Raw genomic sequence first — 19794 nt, 5'->3', positions numbered from 1 at the left:
ATCTTGGTAGATTGTATGTGTCTAAGAATTTGTTTCTTCTAGGTTTTCCAATTTATTGGCATATAGTTGCTTATAGTAGCCTCTAACGATCCTTTGAATTTCTGAAGTATCAGTTGTAATGTCTCCTTTTTCATCTCTGATTTTATTTATTTGGGTCTTCTCTCTTTTTTTGTTAGTCTGGTTAAAGGTTGTCAATTTTGTTTATCTTTTCAAAAAGGCAGCTTTTCATTTCACTGATCTTGTGTATTCTTTCAATTTCATTTATTTCTGCTCTCATCTTTATTTCTTTTCTTCTACTAATTTTGAGTTTGGTTTGCTCTTGCTTTTCTAATTCTTTAAGATACATTGTTAGGTTGTTTATTTGAAATTTTTCTACTTTTTTAATGTAAATGCCTATAGCCATAAACTTCCCTCTTAGTCCTGCTTTCACTGTATCTCACAGGTTTTGGTATGTTGTGTTTTCATTATAATTTATTTCAAGAAATTTTCCAATTTCCTCCTTAATTTCCTCATGGACCCACTGGTCATTGAGGAGCATAGTGTTTAATTTCCATGTGTTTGTATAGTTTCCAAAATTTCACTTGTTATTGATTTTTAGTTTTATTGTGGTCATAGAAGATACTTGATGTTATTTCAATTAAAAAAAATTTTAATACTTGTTTTGTAGCCTAACATATGGTCTGTCCTTGAGAATGATCCATGTGCTGAGGAGAAGAATGTGGATTCTGCAGCCATTGGATTAAATGTTCTGTAAATATCTTATTAAGTTCATGTAGTCTGTAGTGCAGATTACATCTGATTTTTCTTGGTTGATTTTCTGTCTAGATCATCTGTCCAGTGCTGAAAATGGGATGTTAAAATCTCCAGCTCTTACTGTATTGGGGTCTGTCTTTCTCTTTGGCTCTAATAATATTTACTTTATATATCTGGGTGCTCCAGGATTGTGTTCATTTATATTTATAATTGTTACATCTTCTTGCTGAATTGACCCCTTTATCATTATATAATAACCTTCTTTGTCTCTTTTTTATAGTTTTGTCTTGAAATCCATTTTGTCTGATCTAAGTATAGCTACTCCTGCTCTTTTTTGGTTTCCATCCCTTTGTTTTCAGTCTGTATGCGTCTTTGTAGGTGAAGTGTGTTTCTTGTAGTCAACAGATCATTGGGTCTTGTTTTCTGTTGTTGTTGTTCATTCAGCCACTTTCTGTGTCTTTTCATTGGAGAATTTAGTCCATTAACATTCAATGTTAGTATTAATAAGTAAGGACTTATTCCTGCCGTTTTGTTATTGGTTTTCTGGTTGTTTTGTGGTCTTCTTTTCCTTCTTCCCTTCCTTCCTGTCTTTCTTTTAGTGAAGGTGATTTTCTCTAGTGGTATGTTTTAATTTACTTTTTATTTCTTATCTGTTGTATTTTTTTATTTGAGTTTATCATGAGGGTTGCAAATAATATCTCATAACCATTATTTTAAACTGATAACAACACTGATTGCATAAACAAAGAGAAAACTAATAAAAACTCTACATACTAACTTTGTTCCCCCCACTTTTAAACTTTTTGTTTGTATTTTTATCTTATTGTACTGTCTGGAAAAGTTGATGTAGTTATTATTTTTAATTGGTCTCTTAGTCTTTCTACTTGAGATATGAGTAGTTTATACACTACAATTACAGTGTTATAATATTCTGTGTTTGTCTGTGTACTTACTATTACCAGTGAGTTTTGTATCTTCAGATGATTTTTATTGCTCATTAACGTCCTTTGCTTTCAGATTGAAGAATTCCCTTTAGCGTTTCTTGTAGGACAGGTCTGATGTTGATGAAATCCCTCAGCTTTTGTTTGGGAAAGTCTTTATTTCTCCTTCATGTTTGTAGGATATTTTCACTGGATATACTATTCTAGGGTAAATTTTTTTTCCTTTCGCACTTGGAATATGTCATACCACTCTCTCCTGGCCTATAGGGTTTCCACTAAAACGTCTGCTGCCAGATGTATTGGAGTTCCATTGTATTTTTTAAAATTGTTATTTGTTTCTATTGTCTTGCTGCTTTTAGGATCCTTTCTTTATCGTTGACCTTTGGGAGTTTGGTTATTAAATGTCTTGAAGTAGTACTCTTTGGGTTAAACTGGCTTGTGTTCTATAACTTTCTTATACTTGAATATTGATATCTTTCTCTAGGTTTGGGAAATTCTCTGTTATTATTCATTTGAATAAACTTTCTGCCCCTCTCTTTCACTCTACCTCCTCTTTAAGGCCAGTAACTCTTAGATTTGCCCTTTTGAGGCTATTTTCTGTTAATAGATCTTGTAGATGTGCTTCATTCTTTTGTCTCCTCTGACTTTGTATTTTCAAAGAGGCTGTCTTCAAGCTCACCATTTTTTTCTTCTTCTTGATCAATTCTGCTGGTAAGAGACTGATGCATTCTTTAGTATGTCAGTTGCATTTTCAATCCAGAATTTCTGCTTGATTTTTTTAATTATTTCAGTCCCTTTGTTAAATTTATCTGATAGGATTCTGAATTCCTTCTGTGAGCTATCTTGAATTTCATTGAGTTTCCTCAAAACAGCTGTTTTGAATTCTCTGTCTGAAAGGTCACATATCTCTGTCTCTCTGGAATTAGTCTCTGGTACCATATTTAGTTCATTTGGTGAGGTCATGTTTTCTTGGATTACCTTGATGTTTGTGGATGTTTGTTGGTGTCTAGGCATTGGAGAGTTAGGTATTTATTATAGTCTTTACAGTCTGGGCTTGTTTTTACCCATCTTTCTTGCGAAGGCTTTCCGAGTATTCAAAGGGACTTGAGTGTTGTGATCCAGGTCTCTTGTCACTGCATTTGTATCTACATTAGGTGGCACCCCAAGTGTAGTAAAACTGTGGCTCTTGCAGACTCATAGAGGTACCACCTTGGTGGTTTTAGGTAAAATCCAGAATAATTCTCTGGATTACCAGGGAGAGACTCTTGTTCTCTCCTCTTACTCTCTCCCAAACAACTGGAATTTGTCCGTCTATGCTGAGCTACCTGGAGCTAGGGGAGAGGTTACACAAGCACCCCTGTGGCCACCCCACCACTGAAACTACACTGGGTCAGACCTAAAGCCAGCACAGCACTGGGTCTCTCGCCCAAGGCCTGTAGTAACTACCACCTGGCTATCACCTGTGTTCTTCACTCAAGGCCCTAGGGCTTTACAGTCAGCAAGTGGCAAAGCCAGCCATGCTGTGTCCTTCCCTTCAGGGCAGCAAGTTCTCTCCAGCCCTGGGTGGGTCCAGAGATGTTCGGAAGCCAGGGCCTGAAGTCAGAAACCTTAGGAATCTATCTAGTGCTTTGTTCTGCTGCAGCTGAGCTGGCACCCAAGTAACAAGACAAAGTCCTTCCCGTTTTTTCGTCCTCTTTCTGCAAACAGAGGCATCTTTCCCTACGGCCGCCACCACCCCAGACCTGTGGCAAGCACCACCTGGCTACTGCCAGTGTTCACTCAAGGCCCGAAGGCTCTTGAGTTAGGTTGTGATGAATGCTGCCAGGCCTAGGACTCTCCCTTCAGGACAGTGGGCTCTTGTCTGGCCCAGGGCAGGCCCAGAGCCTCTTTGAAAATATGCAGTCAGAGGAAACAAAAGAAAAAAGAATGAAAATGCCATCCAAGAACCAAGGCCTGGAATTGGGGACCCCGAGAGCCTGCTTAGTGCTCTACATAGCCCAAATAGTAAAGGGAACTTTGTCTTGTAGCTTAGTGTCTCTGGTACCTAAGCTGGAAGCTCTGTCTCCCAGGCTGGAGTACAATGGTGTGATCTTGGCTCACTGCAGCTGCCGCCTCCCAGGTTCAGGTTCAAGCAGTTCTTCTGTCTCAGCCTCCCGAGTGGCTGGGACTACAGGCATGCACCACCACGCCCAGCTAATTTTTGCATTTTTAGTAGAGATGGGGTTTTACCATGTTGGCCAGGCTGGTCTGGGACTCCTGACCTTAGGTGATCTACCCACCTCGGCCTCCCAAAGTGCTGGGATTATAGGCATGAACCACCATACCCGGCCCCTTTACTCCTCTTTCTTTTCTCAAGCAGAAGGAGTCTCTCCCTGTAGCCACCACAGCTGGGAATGTGCTGGGTCATGCTTGAAGACAGCATGTCTCAGTCTCACTCATGGCCCCACAGCAAATACCACCTGGCTATCAGTGCTGATTATTTGGGGCCTCATGGGTCTTTAATCAGCAGGTGATGAATGCTGCCAGGGCTGAGTCCTTCCTTTCAAGGCAGTGGGTTCCCTTCTGGCCCAGGGTATGTCTAGAAATGTCATCCAGGAGCTAGGGTCTAGAATGGGGACTTCAGGACTCTGCCCTCTCCTACTGTGGCTGAGCTGGTATCCAAGTTGCAAGACAAAATCCTCTTTTACTCTTCCCTCTCCTCTCCTCAAGCAGAGGGAAGGAGTCTTTCCCGGAGCTGTGAGCTGTGCTGCCTGGGCTTTGGGAAGAGGTGGCACAATTACTCCTTGGCCATGCTGGCTGATGGTCCAGGTTCTTATCATGAGTCAAATGACTCGTGGGGAAATGTAGCCAGAGGAGCCCCCTTCAAAAAAGGAGATAAAAAGCAGGAGACATTTTTGTTGTTGCATATCTGAGATGGGGTAAGAGTAGAAATATTGATACTAAGCGTTTAAGAGGTTTTATTTATAGCTAACTTTTGTTTTCAATAGGTAATATATTCACATGGTTCAAAAGAAAAACATTATTCAAAAAGATACATAGTGAGAAGTCTCGATCTCACCCTCAGCTCCCATGGACCTTTATGGTCTTTTTCTTCCAACCTTTTTTTTTTTTAATTTGAGACGGGATGCTAGCTTTTTTGCCCAGGCTGGAAAGCAGTGGAATTCCGGCATGCTGGAATGCTGATCATGGCACACTGCAGCCTCAGTCTCCTCAGCTCAAGTGATCCTCCCAATTCAGTCTCCTGAGTAGCTACAAAACCCAGTCAATTTTTTATTTATTTTTTTTAGTTGAAACAATATCTCACTGTGTTGCCTGGGCTGGTCTCGAACTTATAGGCTCAGGCTGGAGCTCAGTGGCACAATCACAGCTCGCTGTAATCTCTGCCTCCCGGGCTCAAGTGATTCTCTCACCTCAGCCTTCTGAGTAGCTGGGACTACAGGCACACACTACCACACCTAGCTAATTTTTTGTATTTTTTTGTAGAGGCAGGATTTCACCATGTTGCCCAGGCTGATCTCAAACTCCTGGGCTCAAGCAATCTGCCCTCCTCAGCACCCCCAGAGTGATGGGATTACAAGCATGAGCCGCTATACCTGGTTCTAACTTTTTTAATATGAAATATTTCAGGTCGGGTGCGGTGGCTCACACCTATAATCCCAGCACTTTGGGAGGCCGAGGCAGGAGGATTGCTTGAGCCTAGGAGTTTGAGATAAGCCTGGGCAACATAGGGAGACCCTATCTCTACAAATAATCAAAAAATTAGCTGGGCATGGTGGTTGTGCACCTGTAGTCCCAGCTACTCTGGGGCTGAGGTGGGAGGTTACTTGAGCCCAGGAGTTTGAAGCTGCTGTGAGCTGTGATCATGCCACCGCACTCTAGCCTAGGTGACAGAGCAAGACTCTGTCTCAAAAAAAAAAAAAAAAAAAAAAAAATTCAAACATATAGAAAAGTTGAAACAATAATACCATGAAGACCATGTAGTTTAAACAAGTGTTAACATTTTGCCATATTTGTAATATCTACCTTTGTTGAATAATTTGAAAACAAGCTGCAGACATAATGACACTTTATAACCCTGTGCTTTAGCATGCATCTTCTAAGAATAAAGAACATTCTCTACCTAATTACAAATAACATTACCACACCCAAGAAAATTAAAAATAATGCCCTAATACCTTCTACTCAGTTCACATTCAGTTTCCCCCAGCTGCCTAAAAAATTATTTCAAACTGTTTTCTTCAAACCAGATCTGAGTAACATTTCTGCATTGCAGTTGGTTGTTGTGACTTTCAGTCTCTTTTAATCTAGAACTCTATCCTTCCCCTATTTTTTCCCCCAAGATTTTGGCTTTTTGAAGAGACCAGACCAGTTTTATTGTAGCAAGTTCCATATTCTAGTTCTGTCAGATTACGTTTTCTTGTGATTTTTCTTGTTGCTCTATCTCTTGAATTCCTGTGAAGGAGAAATTACGTTGAAGACTTGTTTAGACCTAGGTTAGGCACTTTTGGTAATAATACATCATAACTTAGTCTGTGTATTTAAAGTTACATCACATCAAGAGGCATAAATGAAGAGTCTCACTCTGATTGTTGCTGAGTTTGATCACTAGGTTAAGCTGGTGACTGTCACATCTTCCCATTATAATGGTACTCAGTTTTTCCCCTTTGCAATTCGGAAGTAATCTCTGGAATGATCCTTTGGCACTGTGGTAACCTGTTTTCCAACAATTTTCGATCATGCAAAAATGATTTTTAGCAACCTGTGATCGTCCTTGCCTGAATCATTTATTTCATTTGGGGTTGCAAAATGGTGATTTTGAAATTCTTTCTTTGCTTCTACATTTATTAACTGGTAGTCTTCTGTAAGAGAGCTTTGCCGCTCTACCGAGGATGAACCCTTCTAAAAAGGCTGTAAATTGCTTATTTCTTTCTCTTTAATTATCAATCTTCAGAATAAGTCATTAATGTCATAGTTACCTCCAATGATGGGAAGAAGTGTTTTTTTTTAAAGTTTTTCACTCTCTGAGTTATTGCTGGAGATTCATGGATTCTTATTCATGATATCAATTTTAGTAATTATTCTCTTTTGGTACTCAAATTGTCTCAAATTTGCCCAGTGGAAAACCCTTAAAACTGGCTCCTGTGTTCTTGTAACACACTCCTCATTAGTGTGAGTGCTTCCTTCCCTCTGGTATAACATCATTTTTTAAATTCACCTTGTAAGATAACCATTTTTATTGGTCTTATATTTCTTTCTAGAGTATTTTAGCACTAGCATGTATAAAATATTTTTTCTCCCCTTTCCCCAAAAAAAGTAGCACAAGGTACTCAATGGTTTACTCTGTTTTTTTTCTCTCAAAAATATATCTTGGAGATCTTTTTGTGTCAGTACACAGACAGCATTTTCCTTCTTGCTGTGTTTCTTTTTTTTTGCATTTCATTTTTAAGGATGTTCTATAATTTAAATCAGTCCCATTGATGGACATCTGGGTAATTTCCTAACTTTTCTATTACAAGCAGTGCTGTAGTGCATAACACTATACATACGTCATCTTATATGATGATAAGTGTATCTGTAGGATTGCTATCCAGAAGTGGAATTGCTAGGTTAATAGTTTATGCAATTGTAATTTTTTTTAAGAGATGAAGTTTCACTGTGTTGCCCAGACTTGAGTGCAGTGGCTATTTACAGATGCTATTATAGCTCACCACAGCCTTGAACTCCTGGCCTCAAGTAGTCCTCCTGTCTTAGCCTCTCAAGTACCCAGGATTACAGGTGTGTGCCAGCACACCCAGCTTGTAATTGTGATTTTGAAAGACATTACTTAATTGCTGGTGTACCAATTTGCACTACCGCCAGCAATGAATAAGAGTGCCTGTTTCACCATAACCTTGCTGGGAACAGTAAATTATCAAATTTTTGGAGTTTTGCTAATCTGATGAGTGAAAAATTGTTTTTTGCTTCTTTTGTGTGAGGGTAAACATCTTTTCATATGTTGAATGTTCGTTTGTATTTCTTTTTCTGTGAATTTTCTGATCATATTCTGTGTCCATTTTTATACATTTGTCCAAATTGATCTTTTTATTTTATGTGCCTGTATAAGCACATATACATACACATACCTATGCATATTTTTTTCTATATCATTCTATATAGGGAGATTTGTTCTTTTATCACTGATATGATTGCAAGTATTTTTTTCTTAGTTTGTTGTTTTTTTGACTTACAATGTTTTTTGCTTTGCAGAATTGATTTTTTTTTGCATTTGAACTTATCAATCTTTTCTCTTATGGCTTTATTATTATTTTTTTTAGAGACAGGATCTAGCTTTCTTGCCCAGACTGGATTGCAGTGGCATGATCATAGCTCACTGTAACCTCAAACTCTTGACCTCAAGTGATCCTCCTGCTTTAGTCACCTGAATAGCTGGGACCACCGGCATGCACCACCATGCAAGTTCCATGCATAAGTTTTATATCTACAGTAAATATTTCAAGACTTAAACTGAAAATTTAATGAAAAATATAATGTATAGATATTATGGATAAAATAGGAAAAAAACTTACACCTAAAACTTTGTCAAGTTTAAAAAGCTAAATTTGAAATCCTGTTAGAAAAGCGGGTCTTGTATTTTGTATGTGTACAAAATATTTTGTTTTGGGCTCTAAGCATATGCAGATAGTGTGACCTGATGTTAATTAATCTGGACAGAATTAAGAATGAAGGTATAGAGAGGGCTCTAAGGCTTAAAGTGACAGTTTTATGATTCTTAAGTGATGCTTGTATAAGTCTGTGAGTTTTGCTTCTACAATCTTTGAATGCTTGCTGATGAGTGGCCTAAAATCTCAAAAAAGGCTGGGGGCAGTGGCTCATGCTTGTAATCTCAGCACTTTGGGAGGCTCAGGCGGGTGGATCGCTTGAGCCCAGAAGTTCAAGACTAGCCTGGGCAACATGGTGAAACCCCATCTCTACCAAAAAAAATACAAAAAAATTATCCAGATGTGGTGGCATGCGCCTGTGGTCCCAGCTACTTGGGAGCCTGAGGTGGGAGGATTGCTTGAGCCTAGGAGGTTGAGCTGCAGTGAGCTATGATCTGTTACTGCACTCCAGCCTGGGTGACAGAGTGAGACCCTGTCTCAAAAAAAAAAAAAAAAAAAAATCAGAAAAGATAATCTTTGTAGACTTAATGAAAACCCTGTTTTAACATTCTCTAAAGATGCCAATGCTGACTTGATAACTTGTGATATTTACATTGACTTTTGTTGAAAAGATAGGTTATGAAATTAAAGAAATCTTTAATTTCTATATAATACTGTGGTTTTATTTTATCTCTCTCTCTCTTTTTGTTGTTGTTGTTGTTGTTTGTTTTTAGAATTTTGATTTGGCTGCTGGGCTGCTACCTTGAAATCCAAGCCCTAAAAATGCCAGCTTCTTTGGACTTAGAAGATGACCTGGATAAATGATAAAAATTAAGAAAGAGATTTTGGTGAGTGAAACCTTATGCGAGAGAGTTAATAAAGCCAACTTAATGCTTATTCTTTTTTTTTTTTTTCTGATACTGTCTCTCTTTTGGAAAAACTGTGTAGAATGCATTTATTATTCTTGGAGACATTTAATAAAATACAGATGCTATTCTTCTGTTTTTAAATGGGGTTTTTACTACAAACTATGTAGTTTCTCATCTTTTTTATAAATGATAATCTTAGGTTTCACTGTAGAAGACAATGAAAGACCAGTAAACAATACTTATTTTTAGAATTTATGTTGATTAAAATGATAATAGGATATTGTACTTCAAATAAATACCTTTGATTAAAAATAGAAATATATGTTGAAAGTTGCAAACTCAACATAACTCTAGTTTGATGCTGTATTTAGATCTGAGGTGAGCTAAAGCCCAGAAAAAATTAGACTGTTTTTATCTTGAAATTTCTATTTCCCTCCCTCCTAGCTTTTGTATAGCACTCCAATAACAGATCCTGGCAGTCCCCCACTGGGAGGTATGTCATAATGGGTTTAAATTGGCACAGGGGACTCTTCAGAAGTGCTTCATAAGCCCATGAGAAGTTGCTAATATTAGAACATTTTTGCATCATCTCCCTGCCCTCTCTCCTTCTTCTTTTGAGAATTTCCTTCATGTACAGTATTATGACAGGGGTTTGGGTATGTGCCTTGGTGCCCTAACATCCTTAGATTTTTATCTCAGTTTGTTGAAGTGACTACTCTGGCAAGCAGTCATTGTTTACATTAAATGTAATTTAAGAGTTTATTGCTGGTTTTCCTTAAAGACACTGACATTTGCAAGTTACTGAGAAGTAGTTTTTGTATCTAGAAAGTTTTTTTTTCTTTCATTCTGAGACTTAAGAGCTTTGTGCCAGGAGCAGAAGGCCGTCATTTCTGCCAGGGTGAGCAGTGCATTGAGGTACGACCAGTCCTTCACTCCCAGATCCTAGGAGGAAAGAAGGAGTGCTATTAGGAACAAAGAAGGAAGCAAGCACTGTAGAGCTGTTGCCACAAGCAGCTACTCTTCTATGTAAATCTTTATCTGACTGACAAAGACTGCTGCTCCCTACTTAGAGAATACTCATGATGGGTGCACAATTGACATTTTAAAGCAGTAAAAAGATACAAGAAAAATTACCTAGGGAAAATACTTTTCTAAAAGCATGTTTCGAGAAGAAATTAAATGTGCTACTTTCTGTATGGAGTGGGCTGAGTTCTGAGTTGTTAAAAATGCATCAGGTTGAAATGCACGTAACATAAATTAGCCATTTTAAAGTGAACAGTTCAGTGGCATTTAGTAGATTCACATTGTACTACAACCACCACTTCTATCTAGTTCCAAAACATGTCTGTCACTCCAAAATGAAACTTCATAACCATTAAGATGTCCCATTCCCCATCCCCTATACCTCCCGCTCACAACCACTAATCCGTCTGTCTGTCTCTGTGAATTTACTTATTCTAGATATTTCATACAAATTAGACCGGGTGCGGTGGCTCACGGCTGATATCCCAACACTTTGGGAGGCTGAGGCGGGTGTATCACTTGAGGTCAGGAGTTTGAGACTAGCCTGGCCAATATGGTGAAACCTCATCTCTCCTAAAAACAAACAAAATTAGCCAGGCATGGTGGTGCGTGCCTGTAATCCCAGCTACTTGGAAGGCTGAGGCAGGAGAATCACTTGAACCTGGGAGGCAGAGGTTGCAGTGAGCCAAGATCACGCCACTGCACTCCTGCCTGGGTGACAGAGCCAGACTCCGTCTCAAAAATAATAATAGGCCAGGCGTGGTGGCTCACGCCTGTGGTCCCAGCACTTTGGGAGGCCGAGGCGGGTACATCACGAGGTCAGGAGATCGAGACCATCCTGGCTAACACGGTGAAACCCTGTCTTTACTAAAAATGCAAAAAAATTAGCTGGGCGTAGTGGTGGGTGCCTGTGGTCTCAGCTGCTCGGGAGGTTGAGGCAGGAGAATGGCATGAACCTGGGAGGCGGAGCTTACAGTGAGCCGAGGTCACACCACTGCATTCCAGCCTGGGCAACACAGCGAGACTCCATCTCAAAATAATTAAATAAATAAATAAATAATAAAATAAATAAATGGAGTTATGCAATATATGACCTTTTATGTCTGGCTTCTGTTACTTAGCATATAGTTTTTGAGGTTTATCTCCGTTGTAGCATGTATCAGCACTTCATTCCTTATTATATCTAAATAATATTCTATCTATATGTATCTACCACAGTTTGTTTATCCATTCACCTGTTAATGGACATTTGAGTTTTTGGCTATTGTGAATAATGTTGCTGTGAATATATGTGTAATTTAGAGTTATTCTTAATTTTTTTTTTTTTTTTTAATAGTAGAAATGGGATTTGCCACGTTGGCCAGGCTGGTCTCGAACTCCTGACCTCAAGTGATCCACCCGCCTTGGCCTCCGAAAGTACTGGGATTACAGGTGTGAGCCACTGTGCCCGCCCGGCCTTTCTTAAATTTTGTTTTTACATTAATGTTTTTCAGTGAATATTCTTCCATTTAAGGCAGGAATAATTGCCGTGAAGAATATTATTTTATTGTTATGCTGTGTGTGACTATAACACTTTGACATTTACCGAGTATTTATAGTCATTTTTAATTTTTTTGAGACAGAGTCTCACTCTGTTGCTCAGAGCAGCAATAGTGCAGTAGCACAATTTCAGCTCACCACAACCTCCACCCTTCCCCTCACTCCCCTCAGGCTCAAGGGATTGTTTCACCTCAGCCTCATGAGTTGCTGGGACTACAGGCACACACCACCAGGCCCAGCTAATATTTGTATTTTCTGTAGAAATGGGGTTTCACCATGTTCCCCAGGCTGGTCTCAAAAGCCTGAGCTCAAGCCGTCTGCCCACCTCGGCTTCCCAAAGTGCTGGGATTACAGGTGTGAACCAGCACACCTAGCCATAGTAAGCCTTTATGCAAAGTTGGAGTAGGAACTTGGGGAACTGCTGATAAACCTGTGACACAATATCAAGATACCTGTAAATACAATGTCAGGCATTTGATGCCTCAGTAATCAGAAAAACTGTTGGATTTCCTCCTTGTAGGGCTTTACAATAACCTTTTTATCCTTATATTTTTCTAAAGGTAAATTATTTGTTAGATGAGTAAGAAAGATACCATTGTTGTCATTGGTTGACTTCCATAGATTGAAACTTGAAGAAATTGCATTTGATCACTGCTATTTACTTAACTTTTCTCATTACTACTACCATAGTTCCCTCAAAGTTTGTTGAATAAAGCTTTCTAGATGCTGCTTCATACAGCACTTAGATGAATTGTTGATTTCCTAATATCAGGCTTCCACGTAACCTATAGTATATACTTTTTTGTAAGTTGTAACTTGAAATTTTCAGATGCTTTGAACTTGACACATAATCTAGCAATTCATTGGCACACCAAGGCAAAACATCAACCTGCTAAAGAGATTTATTTATTTATTTATTTATTTTTGAGACGGAGTTTCACTCTTGTTACCCAGGCTGGAATGCAATGGCGCTATGTTCACCGCAACCTCGGCCTCCCAGGTTCAAGTGATTCTCCTGCCTTAGCCTCCCAGTAGCTGGGATTACAGGCATGTGCCACCATGCCCGGCTAATTTTGTATTTTTAGTAGAGACGGGGTTTCTCCATGTTGGTCAGGCTGGTCTTGAACTCCTGACCTCAGGTGATCCGCCTGCTTCGGCCTCTCAAAGTGCTGGAATTACAGGCTGTTTACTTAATCTTCAACTTTAAAACCTATATGTCCTTCAGTTAAGCCTAAATATGAGGTAGGAGGTGGAAATTGACTCCAGAGGCAGGGCTTGAACACCAGACCAAATTGAGGACTGCTAAAACAGGGATGGGGCAGGAGCAGCTTTCCATAAGACACATCCACCAGTGTGCCATGTCAGTTTACCATTACCATGACAACACCCAAGACTTACCACCCCTCTCCGTGGCAATGACCTGACTACCCAAAAGTTACCATACTTCTGCTAGCAATTTCTGCATAAACCACCTGTTAATCTACATGCTTAAAAGTAGGTATAGGCCAGGCACGATGGCTCACGCCTGTAATCCCAACACTTTGGGAGGCCGAGGCGGGTGGATCACCTGAGGTCAGGAGTTCAAGACCAGCCTGGGCAACACGGTGAAACCCCATCTCTACTAAAATGTGTCACTGCACTCCAGCCTGGGCGAGACAGAGCTAGACTCCATCTCAAAAAAATTAAAATAAATGAAATACATAAAAGTAGATATAAATATAACTGCTGGCCAGGTACAGTAGGAGGCCAAGGTGGGCGGATTGCTTGAGCTCAGGAGTTCGAGACCAGCCTGGGCAACACGGTGAAACTCCATCTCTACTAAAATACAAAAAATTAGTCAAGCGTGGTGGCATCTGCCTGTAGTCTCAGCTAACTGGGAAGCTGAGGCAGGAAAATTGCTTGAACCTGGAAGGCGGCGGTTGCTGTGAGCTGAGATCACACCACTGCACTCCAGCCTAGGTGACAGAGCAAGACTTCATCTCCAAAAAAAAAAAAAAAATTAGGTATAAATATAATTGCAAAACTGCTCTGAGCTGCCAGTCTCAGCACACTGCCTATGGGGTAGTCCTGCTCTGCAGGAGCAGTCACAGAGTTGTAACACTGCAGCTTCAATAGAGCTGTTTTCTTCTACCCTACCCTGGCTCACCCTTAAGTTCTCCTGGGCGAAGCCAAGAACGCTTGAAGGCTAAGCCCCACTTTGGAGGCTTGCCGGTCCTGCATCAAATACAGGTTAATTTGTAAATGGCAAAGTTTGTTTTGAGGTTTTTCCTCAATAACTTGTTTCCTAGGCCTATTAAGCCATCTCCAAAATTGATCTCTTTTAATTTTTTTTTTTTTTTTAAGAGCGGGAACTTGCTCTCTTACCCAGGCTGGAGTGTAGTGGCACAATCATAGCTCACTGTAGCCTTGACTTCCCAGGCTCAAGCAGTTCTGCCACCCTAGCCTCCCATGTAGCTGGGACTACAGGTGTGCATCACCACACCTGGTTAATTTTTAAATTTTTTTTGTAGAGTCGGGGTCTTACTGTGTTGGCAGGAGTGGTCTCAAAATCCTGGGCTCAAATGATCCTCCAACCTCAGCCTCCCAAAGTGCTGGGATTACAGGCCTGAACCACCACACCTGGCCTATTTTGTGTTTTAGAAAGATCCCTGTGGCTGCTGTCTGGAGACAGATTGGAGGACAATAAGATTGGAGGCAGGGGAGACCTGAAAGCGCACTTTTTAATGGGGTTGTTTTTTTTTTTTCATAAATTTGTTTAAGTTTCTTGTGGGCCCTGGATATTAGACCTTTGTCAGATGGGTAGATTGCAAAAATTTTGTCCCATTCTGTAGGTTGTCTGTTCACTCCGATGATAGTTTCTTTTGCTGTGCAGAAGCTCTTTATTTTAATTAGATCCCACTTTCAATTTTTTTGTTGCAGTTGCTTTTGGCGTTTTTATCATGAAATCTTTGCCCATGCCCATGTCCTGAATGGTATTGCCTAGATTTTCTTCTGAAGTTTTTTAGTTTTGGGTTTTACATTTAAGTCTTTAATCCATTTTGAGTTAATTTTTGTAAGGATGGCGTAAGGAAGGGGTCCAGTTTCAATTTTCTGCATATGGCTAGCCAGTTCTTTCAGCACCATTTATTAAATAGGGAATCCTATTTAGTCATAACAGTCTCTCAGATCATAGCACAATCAAATTAGAACTCAAGATTAAGAAGTTCACTCATAACCACACAACTATATGGAAATTGAACAACCTGCTCGTGAATGACTTTTGGGTAAATAATGAAATTAAGGCAGAAATGAAGAAGTTCTTTGAAACTAATGAGAACAGAGACAACATACCAGAATCTCTGGGACAGTGTTAAACAGTGTTAAGTGGGAAATTTATAGCACTAAATGCCCACATCAAAAAGCTAGAGAGATCTCAAGTTAACAACCTAACATCTCAACTAAAAGAACTGGAAAATGAAGAGCAAATAAACCCCAAAGCTAGCAAAAGATCAAGAAATAACCAAGAATAGAGCTGAACTGAAGGAGATAGAGATGTGAAAAACCCTTCAAAAAATCAGTGAATCCAGAAGCTGGTTTTTTGAAAAAAATTGATAGATCACTAGCTATAATAGATCGCTAGCAGGTCTAATAAAGAAGAAAAAAGAATTAAATAAGCACAATCAGAAATGATAAGGGGGCTATCACCACTGACCCCACAGAAATACAAACAACCATCAGAGAATACTATAAACACCTCTATGTACATAAACTAGAAAATCTAGAAGAAATGGATAAATTCCTGGACACATACACTCTCAGCTGAACCAGGAAGACTGAACCAGGAAAAAATTAAATCTCTGAGTATACCAATTAACAAGTTCTGAAATTGAGGCAGTAATAAATAGCCTACCAACCAAAGAAGTTTCTTTAAAAATTATTTTTTCTGGAGGGAAAGCCAGCAATTTTTCATAGACTGACTTTCAATTTCTCTCTGTTTTTTTTTTTTTTTTTAAGTACTGTGTAATGCCCATAGTATTGTTAAACTGACAATTCCTGTATCTGCCAGTAGAAGATTTTCCAGATCTAGATACATAGTCCTCATGTCATGACCAACGACCTGTTTAGGGAGACTATCAAAGTCCAGGCTTTTTAGTTAGTCTCCTTTCTGGTTAAAGATTCTTTTGGAAAATGTTTCTTAGATTTTAAGATGTTTTCTTGCAGTTGTTCCAACTTTGGAATAGCTGCTAAATAGTCATAGTTTTTTAGGCAGTCATCATTTTTCCTGCTAAGCAGCAACTTTTAAGCCCTAAAAATCTTCATTAGTTTTGTTTAATTACCTCTAAAGTTTATTAAAAATCTGTAAAATGCAGATGGCAATCAAATAAGGGCAGTGGTATTAATTTGAGATTTTCTGACTGCTGTTGTATCTTTTTTTTTTTTTTTTTAATTTTTAAAAAAATTGAGACATGGTCTCGCTGTTACCTAGCCTGGTCTGGAACTCCTGGGCTCAAACAGCACTCCTGCCTCTGCCTCCCAAAGTGCTAGGAATACAGGTATGAGCCACTGACCCTGCTGTTGTTTCTTAACCACCCAAATCAGTTTCATTGTAACAGTCATAGCACTAGAAAAGGATATAATTGCCAGAACACAAGGTGCTCTGCTCAAATTTGGAAGTATTTTTGCCATATTTACTTATAACAGAAGAATTTTTCCCCCAAGGATTGCTTAGGTTGGTTTTTGGAAAGCCTTTGCTGTTGAAGTTTAGTCAGTAGTAATTTTTTTATTTTATTTTATTTATTTATTTTTGAGATGAAGTCTTGCTCTTGTCCCCTAGGCTGGAGTGCAGTGGTGCGATCTCAGCTCACTGCAGCCTCCGCCTCCAGGGTTCAAGTGATTCTCCTGCCTCAGCCTCCCAAGTAGCTGGGATTATAGGCGCCTGCTACCATGCCCAGCTAATTTTTCTATTTTCAGTAAAGACGGGGTTTCACCATGTTGACCAGGCTGGTCTCGAAATCCTGACCTCAGGTGATCTGCCCACCTCAGCCGCCTAAAGTGCTGGGATTACAGACATGAGCCACCGCGCCCAGCCTATTTTATTTTTATTTTTAGAGACAAAAATGTTGCTATCACCCATACTGGAATGCAGTGGCACTATCGTAGCTCACTGCTGCCTCGAACTCCTGGGTTTGAGGGATCCTCCCGCCTCAGCCTCCTGAGTAGCTGGGGCTATAGGCATGCACCACCACACCCAGTTAATTTTTTTATTTTTTGTAGAGACAAGGTCTCACAGTGTTGCCCAGGCTGGTCTTAAATCGCTGCCCTCAAGCCATCCACCAGCCTCACTATTTAAAAAAGAAAAATTGGTTGGACATGGTAGCTCATGCCTGTAATCCCAGCACTTTGGGAGGCCAAGGTGGGAGGATCACCTGAGCCTAAGAGTTTGAGACCAGCCTGGGCAATATGGCAAGATCCAATCTCTGCAAAAAATTTTAAAAATTAGCTGGGCACGGTGGTACACGCCTGTAACCCCAGCTGCTTGGGAAGCTGAGGCGAGAGGATCACTTGAGCCCAGGAGGTTGAGGCTGCAGTGAGCCATGTTTTTGCCACTACATTCCAGCAACAGAGAAAGACCGTGTCTCAAAAAAATAAATTAAAAAAAAAAAAGTTAAACGGTGTTTGAGTTACTTTTTTTCATTTATGCAAGGAATATAACCATATTACAGCAGTTTTGTATTTCCTAATGATTTGCAGCATATTTGGAAAATAGGAAAATAAAATTTATCAATGATCCTACCAACCTAATATAGTTGCTTTTTAGGGGATTAATTTTCTTATCCATCTTTTTTTTAAGAAACTTGTAATTATAGTTATAAGTATAAAGTAATAATTCGTAATACTTTAATAATATAAATAAGTGCCATAAATAAAGGCTGGACATGTGCCATAAATAAATAAGTGCCATAAATAAATAAAAGGTGGCTCACGCCTGTAATTCTAGCACTTTGGGAGGCCAAGGTGAATGGCTTGCTTGAGCTCAGAAGTTCAAGACCAGCCTGGGCAACATGGCAAAACCCCATCTCTACTAAAACTACAAAAGATTAGCCAGGCATGATGGTGCTTGCCTGTAGTCCCAGCTACTCGGGAGGCTGAGGCAGGAGAATTGCTTGAACCTGGGAGGTGGAGGTTGCAGTGAGCCGAATTGTGCCACCGCAGTGCAGCCTGGGCAAAAAAGTGAGACTCTGTCTCAATCAATCAATCAATCAATGTTGTATTATAGTTAAAATTATAAGGAATTATTTTATTAGAACATTTGTGGGAGGTTCTTAGGTTTCCATGCCATTTTTGCTTACCGCAAATGCTGAAAATTAATGTTCATTCATTTACTTTTGGGTTAAGTATGTGATCTTCAATCCCCAAACTAACAGAGGAAATGGCCACACTGTGTGATCTTTAATACATGTACTCTTTGGTAAGCAGCATACCTGAAGATAGCAGAAAATGTAACTTCTTTATATCTAAAATTTAGGAAGCAATTTAATTCTGTCCGGAACACAGTTCTTTACCTCCATAAAGATTACCTGTCCATATCAACCCCCTTTTTTTTTTGAGACGGAGTCTTGCTCTGTTGCCCAGGCTGGAGTGCAGTGACGCAACCTCGGCTCCCTTCAACCTCCACCCTCCTGGATTCAAGCAATTCTCCTGCCTCAGCCTCCCTAGTAGCTGGGATTACAGGCATACACCACCATGTCCAGCTTATTTTTGTGTTTTAGTAGTGGCAGGGTTTCATTATGTTGGCCAGGCTGGTCTCAAACTCCTGACCTCAAGTGATCTGCCCACCTTGACCTCCCAAAGTGCTGGGATTACAGGTGTGAGCCACTGCGCCCAGCCCTTTCATATAAGAATTTTTAAGTGTTTATTTCAGAATCATTATTTTCAGCCATTCCACTGTTAATAACCCTTTAATAGTTGTTTAAAATGGTTCATGAAAGACTTCAGAATTTTAGGTAATCATCCAGTTGCTATTAGTCAGGTCTGGTTGTGCTTTGTAGTTTGGAGAAAGAAGAAGGCTTTAGAAACCTTGGCTCCTTTTAAGCTTTTGTCAAGACAGAAGTAGGGGGAGTCTTGGGGAGCCCCTTGCTCTGTGGGGTCAACCAAAGGCCTATAATTCTCAAAAAGTATGTACTTGTTTTATTTTCTTGTGATCCTTTCTTCCCTTCTCCTGACATTCTAGCTTATAAAAAAGTAGCATATAACATAATAAAAAGAATGTTAAATTTAAGACTAGTGTATTTTTATTTTTGGTAACTGTAAGAACTAATTGTTTTAGAATGTCATAATTAAAATAGCTTATCTTCTCTGTAATTTCTTAATTTTTATAGTATTTTCTTATTAAATAAATTATAATTTTCATAGAACTATGAATTATACATTGTTGAATGCATAACTATGCATTGTAATGCTCTTTTGCATCTTCTCTTTTCAGAAGTTTTCTTATTGTCCTCTTGGCATATGCTTCTGGAATAATATTCACCATGGTTTTGGATGACCTTCCAAACTTAGAAGACATCTATACTTCCTTGTGTTCATCAACAATGGAAGACTCAGAGATGGATTTTGACTCTGGACTAGAAGATGATGACACAAAAAGTGATAGTATTTTGGAGGATTCCACAATTTTTGTGGCCTTCAAAGGAAATATAGATGATAAAGACTTCAAATGGAAATTAGATGCAATATTGAAAAACGTGCCCAATTTGTTACACATGGGTAATTTGCTTTAATTATTTTTTCTTCCTGTTACTGTTTTTGAAATGTTTGCCCTTCCATGGTTATCTTGAGTTTTACAAAACAAGCTTGTTAAATTGGGTCAAAAGGCTGAATTTAAGCACAGAGGTGGAATTTTAGGATTTTAAAAATATACATGTTTTCTTTCTTTTTAAGTACATAGAAGAACTGAACATAAAGTGTTGCTTATTATGGTAATTGTTGAATAATCTTCTCTAGTGGATAAAAGTAATTCTCAAGACCCAAATTTATTTGTTTTTAACTCTC

General features: G+C 39.3%; 1 protein-coding gene across 36 annotated transcripts in view, besides 2 other annotated features; it reads left to right on the top strand.

Annotated features, from left to right (window-relative positions):
• NCOA6 (nuclear receptor coactivator 6) overlaps positions 1-19794 on the top strand; it is a 110878-nt gene that overhangs the window by 24022 nt on the left and 67062 nt on the right. For all 36 annotated transcript variants that reach the window (XM_047440068.1, XM_047440055.1, NM_001438234.1 and 33 more), the window contains 2 exons: positions 9067-9180; positions 19226-19509. In XM_047440068.1, coding sequence (XP_047296024.1) covers positions 19275-19509 — 235 coding nt within the window. In that variant the 5' untranslated portion in view covers positions 9067-9180; positions 19226-19274. The remainder of the gene's footprint in view (positions 1-9066; positions 9181-19225; positions 19510-19794) is intronic.
• Positions 2764-3739: an enhancer, noted in NCBI's record as "H3K27ac hESC enhancer chr20:33385694-33386669 (GRCh37/hg19 assembly coordinates)". NCBI's record gives its function as "activates a minimal SCP1, AML or CMV promoter by ChIP-STARR-seq in primed H9 embryonic stem cells {active_cell/tissue: H9 hESC(primed)}" and the evidence as "EXISTENCE:reporter gene assay evidence [ECO:0000049][PMID:30033119]".
• Positions 3740-4716: an enhancer, noted in NCBI's record as "H3K27ac hESC enhancer chr20:33384717-33385693 (GRCh37/hg19 assembly coordinates)". NCBI's record gives its function as "activates a minimal SCP1, AML or CMV promoter by ChIP-STARR-seq in primed H9 embryonic stem cells {active_cell/tissue: H9 hESC(primed)}" and the evidence as "EXISTENCE:reporter gene assay evidence [ECO:0000049][PMID:30033119]".

Source organism: Homo sapiens, chromosome 20 (assembly GCF_000001405.40).
Source record: "Homo sapiens chromosome 20, GRCh38.p14 Primary Assembly".
Classification (NCBI taxonomy): Eukaryota; Metazoa; Chordata; class Mammalia; order Primates; family Hominidae; genus Homo; species Homo sapiens.
The sequence above is the reverse complement of the archived record's forward strand: the minus strand, read 5'-3'. Positions and strand labels throughout refer to the sequence as shown.